This window comes from Homo sapiens, chromosome X (genome assembly GCF_000001405.40).
Source record: "Homo sapiens chromosome X, GRCh38.p14 Primary Assembly".
In the NCBI taxonomy this organism is placed as follows: Eukaryota; Metazoa; Chordata; class Mammalia; order Primates; family Hominidae; genus Homo; species Homo sapiens.
In genome coordinates this window covers 103,023,934-103,029,933 of record NC_000023.11, presented here as the reverse complement: position 1 = coordinate 103,029,933, position 6,000 = coordinate 103,023,934, and positions in this window count along the sequence as shown.

The following is a 6,000-nucleotide window of genomic DNA, read 5'->3' as shown; positions in this document are numbered from 1 at the left end:
TTACTAATACAGACTTACTGGAAAGCTATTCCCAGTTACTGAAAATTTGAGATCATGGATGATGATCTTTTTGGAGTTCCATTTAAATAATTTCAGGTTTTATCAGTAATTAGAACCAATTAAATACAATTAAATCAAAGACCACAGGAAATGTATAGATAGAAATTTACCACTAGTATCATCGTTTATATATGAAATAGAGTATGAAATCCTAGATCTTAGTTGAAAACTTCTTTTTTGAAAATAAACACTAAAAAAGGAAATATCGCAAAGTTTAAATGCCATACCTGACTTTTTTTTTAACATAGGAGCCTTCAGAATGATCATATCTGATTCTTGCCTGAATTAAAAATATATCTAAAAGAATAAAATCTGAATTAATTAGACTTTATTGTATTTGTATTCTGTCTGTACCTCCCCAGAAAGGAGAGAGAAAGGAAAAAGGGAAGTATATACATTATAGATTTTTTTGTTATTACACTTTTAGTTCTAGGGTACATGTGCACAACGTGCAGGTTTGTTACATAGGTATACATGTGCCATGTTGGTTTGTGGCACCCATCAACTCATCATTTACATTAAGTATTTCTCCTAATACTATCCCTCCCCCAGCACCCCACCCCTCGACAGGCCCCAGTGTGTGATGTTCCCCACCCTGTGTCCAACTGTTCTCATTGTTCAATTCCCACCTATGAGCTAGAACATGCGGTGTTTGGTTTTCTGTCCTTGTGATAGTTTGCTGAGAATGATGGTTTCCGGCTTCATTCACATCCCTGCAAAGGACATGAACTCATCCTTTTTTATGGCTGCATAGAATTCCATGGTGTATATGTGCCACATTTTCTTAATCCAGTCTATCATTGATGGACATTTGGGTTGGTTCCAAGTCTTTGCTATTGTGAATAGTGCCACAATAAACATATGCGTGTGTGTGTCTTTATAGTAGAATGATTTATAATCATTTGGGTGTATATCCAGTAATGGAATCATTGGATCAAATGGTATTTCTAGTTCTAGATCCTTGAGGAATTGCCACATTGTCTTCCACAATGGTTGAATGAATTTACATTCCCACCAACAGTGTCAAAGCATTCCTATTTCTCCACAAGCTCTCCAGCATCTGTTGTTTCCTGACTTTTTAATGATCACCATTCTAACTGGCATGAGATGGTATTTCATTGTGGTTTTGATTTGCATTTCTCTGATGACCAGTGATGATGAGCATTTTTTTCATGTGTCTGTTGGCTGCATAAATGTCTTCTTTTGAGAAGTGTCTGTTCATATCCTTTGCCCACTTTTTGATGGGGTTGTTTGTTTTTTTTCTTGTAAATTTGTTTAAGTTCTTTATAGATTCTGGATATTAGCCCTTTGTCAGATGGGTAGATTGCAAAAATTTTCTCCCATTCTGTAGGTTGCCTGTTCACTCTGGTGGTAGTTTCTTTTGCTGTGCACAAGCTATTTAGTTTAATTAGATCCCATTAGTCAATTTTGGCTTTTGTTGCCATTGCTTTTGGTGTTATAGTCATGAAGTCCTTGCCCATGCCTGTGTCCTGAATGGTATTGCCTAGGTTTCCTTCTAGGGTTTTTATGGTTTTAGGTCTGACATTTAAATCTTTAATCCATCTTGAATTAATTTTTGTATAAGGTGTAAGGAAGGGATCCAGTTTCAGCTTTCTACATATGGCTAGCCAGTTTTCCCAGCACCATTTATTAAATAGGGAATCCTTTCCCCATTTCTTGTTTTTGTCAGGTTTGTCAAACATCAGATGGTTGTAGATATGTGGTGTTATTTCTGAGGCCTCTGTTCTGTCCCATTGGTCTATATATCTGTTTTGGTTCCAGTACCATGCTGTTTTGGTTACTGTAGCCTTGTAGTATAGTTTAAAGTCAGGTAGCATGATGCCTTCAGCCTTGTTCTTTTTGCTTATGATTTTCTTGGCTATATGGGCTGATTTTGGTTCCAGATAATTTTTTTTCTAATACTGTGAAGAATATCAATGGTAGCTTAATGGGAATAGCATTGAATCTACAAATTACTTTGGGTAGTATGGCCATTTTCACAACACTGATTCTTCCTATCCATAGGATGGAACATTTTTCCATTTGTTTGTGTCCTCTCTGATTTCGTCGAGTGGTGGTTTGTAGTTCTCCTCGAAGAGGTCCTTCACTTCCCTTGTTAGCTGTATTCCCAGGTATTTTATTCTCTTTGTAGCAATTGTGAATGGGAGTTCACTCATGATTTGGCTCTCTGCTTGCCTATTGGTGGTGTATAGGAATGCTTGTGATTTTTACATATTGATTTTGTATCTTGAGACTTTGCTGGAGTTGTTTATCAGCTTAAGAAGCTTTTGGGCTGAGATGATGGGGTTTTCTAGATATAGAATTATGTCATCTGCAAACAGAGACAATCTGACTTCCTTGCCTCCTATTTGAATATCCTTTATTTCTTTCTCTTGCCTGGCCAGAACATCCAGAAAAAGGGAAATATATACGTTATAGATTTTTTAAAAAAAAAATTTCAACCACCTCTTTTGCTCATTTGTGTAGGAAATTGCAGCTTCATCTGTATGTACAGAATAAATTTGATCTGGTTTTTCAAGTTTACTGGCTTAGGCAAACTTAATGCTGTACAAGCATTGAGATTATTTTTGCAGGTCCCTGCAATGTGACATGGCTACATAAATTAGCTGCAGAAAACTCAATAGACCAAATTTTTAACAGTGGTTAAAATGGAATACACTAGTAAGGATAAGAGACTATATTTGTGATTCTAAGCCTATTGAAGGAAGTTGTGATTTGTTTTGGGTGAGGAATAGGAAGAAATAACAGTGCTTGTGCAGGGATGTTTGTCTTAGATACTTTAGGAAAATTATTTATTGGATACTGTGCATGTAAGGTATGAAAATGGAGCCACACACTATTCACAATAGCAAAGACTTGGAACCAACCCGAATGACCATCAATGACAGACTGGATAAAGAAAATATGGCACATATACACCATGGAATACTATGCAGCCATAAAAAGGATGAGTTCATGTCCTTTGCAGGGACATGGATGAAGCTGGAAACCATCATTCTCAGCAAACTAACAGAAGAACAGAAAACCAAACACTGCATGTTCTCACTCGTAAGTGGGAGTTGAACAATGAGAACACATGGACACAAAGAGGAGAACATCACACACCAGGGCCTGTTGGGGGGTGGGAACTAGGGGAGGGATAGCATTTGGAGAAATACCTAATGTAGATGATGGGTCAGTGGGTGCAGCAAACCACCATGGCACGTGTATACCTATGTAACAAAACTGCGGTGACAGGGGAGGAGCCAAGATGGCTGAATAGGAACAGCTCCGGTCTACAGCTCCCAGGGTGAGTGATGCAGAAGACGGGTGATTTCTGCATTTCCATCTGAGGTACCGGGTTCATCTCACCAGGGAGTGCCAGACAGTGGGCGCCGGACAGTGGGTGCAGTGCACTGTGCGCCAGCCGAAGCAGGGCGAGGCATTGCATCATTCGGGAAGCGCGAGGGGTCAGGGAGTTCCCTTTCCTGGTCAAGGAAAGGGGTGACAGAAGGCACCTGGAAAATCGGGTCACTCCCACCTGAATACTGCGCTTTTCCGACAGGCTTAGGAAACAGCGCACCAGGAGATTATATCCCACACCTGGCTCAGAGGGTCCTAAGCCCACGGAGTCTGGCTGATTGCTAGCACAGCAGTCTGAGATCAAACTGCAAGCAGCAGCGAGGCTAGGGGAGGGGTGCCCGCCATTGCCCAGGCTCGCTTAGGTAAACAAAGCAGCCGGGAAGCTCGAACTGGGTGGAGCCCACCACAGCTCAAGGAGGCCTGCCTGCCTCTGTAGGCTCCACCTCTGGGGGCAGGGCACAGACAAACAAAAAGACAGCAGTAACCTCTGCAGACTTAAATGTCCCTGTCTGACAGCTTTGAGGAGAGCAGTGGTTCTCCCAGCAAGCAACTGGAGATCTGAGAATGGGCAGACTGCCTCCTCAAGTGGGTCCCTGACCCCTGACCCCCAAGCAGCCTAACTGGGAGGCACCCCCCCAGTAGGGGCAGACTGACACCTCACACGGCCGGGTACTCCTCTGAAACAAAATTTCCAGAGGAACGATCAGACAGCAGCATTTGCGGATCACGAAAATCCGCAGTTCCGCAGACACCGCTGCTGATACCCAGGCAAACAGGGTCTGGAGTGGACCTCTAGCAAACTCCAACAGACCTGCAGCTGAGGGTCCTGTCTGTTAGAAGGAAAACTAACAAACAGAAAGGACATCCACACCAAAAACCCATCTGTACATCACCACCGTCAAAGACCAAAAGTAGATAAAGCCACAAAGATGGGGAAAAAACAGAACAGAAAAACTGGAAACTCTAAAAAGCAGAGCTCCTCTCCTCCTCCAAAGGAATGCAGTTCCTCACCAGCAACGGAACAAAGCTGGACGGAGAATGACTTTGACGAGTTGAGAGAAGAAGGCTTCCAATGATCAAACTACTCCAAGCTACAGGAGAAAATTAAAACCAAAGGCAAAGAAGTTAAAAACTTTGAAAAAAATTTAGACGAATGTATAACTAGAATAACCAATACAGAGAAGTGCTTAAAGGAGCTGATGGAGCTGAAAGCCAAGGTTTGAGAACTACATGAAGAATGCAGAAGCCTCAGGAGCCAATGCAATCAACTGGAAGAAAGGGTATCAGTGATGGAAGATCAAATGAATGAAATGAAGTGACAAGAGAAGTTTAGAGAAAAAAGAATAAAGAGAACCGAACAAAGCCTCCAAGAAATATGGGACTATGTGAAAAGACCAAATCTGCGTCTGATTGGTGTACCTGAAAATGACGGGAAGAATGGAACCAAGTTGGAAAACACTCTGCAGGATATTATCCAGAACTTCCCCAATCTAGCAAGGCAGGCCAATATTCAGATTCAGGAAATACAGAGAACGCCACAAAGATACTCCTCGAGAAGAGCAACTCCAAAACACATAATTGTCAGATTCACCAAAGTTGAAATGAAGGAAAAAATGTTAAGGGCAGCCAGAGAGAAAGGTCGGGTTACCCACAAAGGGAAGCCCATCAGACTAACAGTGGATCTCTCGGCAGAAACTCTACAAGCCAGAAGACAGTGGGGACCAATATTTAACATTCTTAAAGAAAAGAATTTTCAACCCAGAATGTCATATCCAGCCAAACTAAGCTTCTTAAGTGAAGGAGAAATAAAATACTTTACAGACAAGCAAATGCTGAGAGATTTTGTCACCACCAGGTCTGCCCTAAAAGAGCTCCTGAAGGAAGCACTAAACATGGAAAGGAAAAACCAGTACCAGCCCCTGCAAAATCATGCCAAAATGTAAAGACCATCGAGACTGGGAAGAAACTGCATCAACTAACGAGCAAAATAACCAGCTAACATCATAATGACAGGATCAAATTCACACATAACAATATTAACTTTAAATGTAAATGGACTAAATGCTCCAATTAAAAGACACAGACTGGCAAATTGGATAAAGACTCAAGACCCATCAGTGTGCTGTATTCAGGAAACCCATCTCACATGCAGAGACACACACAGGCTCAAAATAAAAGGATGGAGGAAGATCTACCAAGCAAATGGAAAACAAAAAAAGGCAGGGGTTGCAATCCTAGTCTCTGATAAAACAGACTTTAAACCAACAAAGATCAAAAGAGACAAAGAAGGCCATTACATGATGGTAAAGGGATCAATTCAATAAGAAGAGCTAACTATCCTAAATATATATGCACCCAATACAGGAGCACCCAGATTCATAAAGCAAGTCCTGAGTGACCTACAAAGAGACTTAGACTCCCACACAATAATAATGGGAGACTTTAACACCCCACTGTCAACATTAGACAGATCACGAGACAGAAAGTTCACAAGGATATCCAGGAATTGAACTCAGCTCTGCACCAAGCAGACCTAACAGACATCTACAGAACTCTCCACCCCAAATCAACAGAATA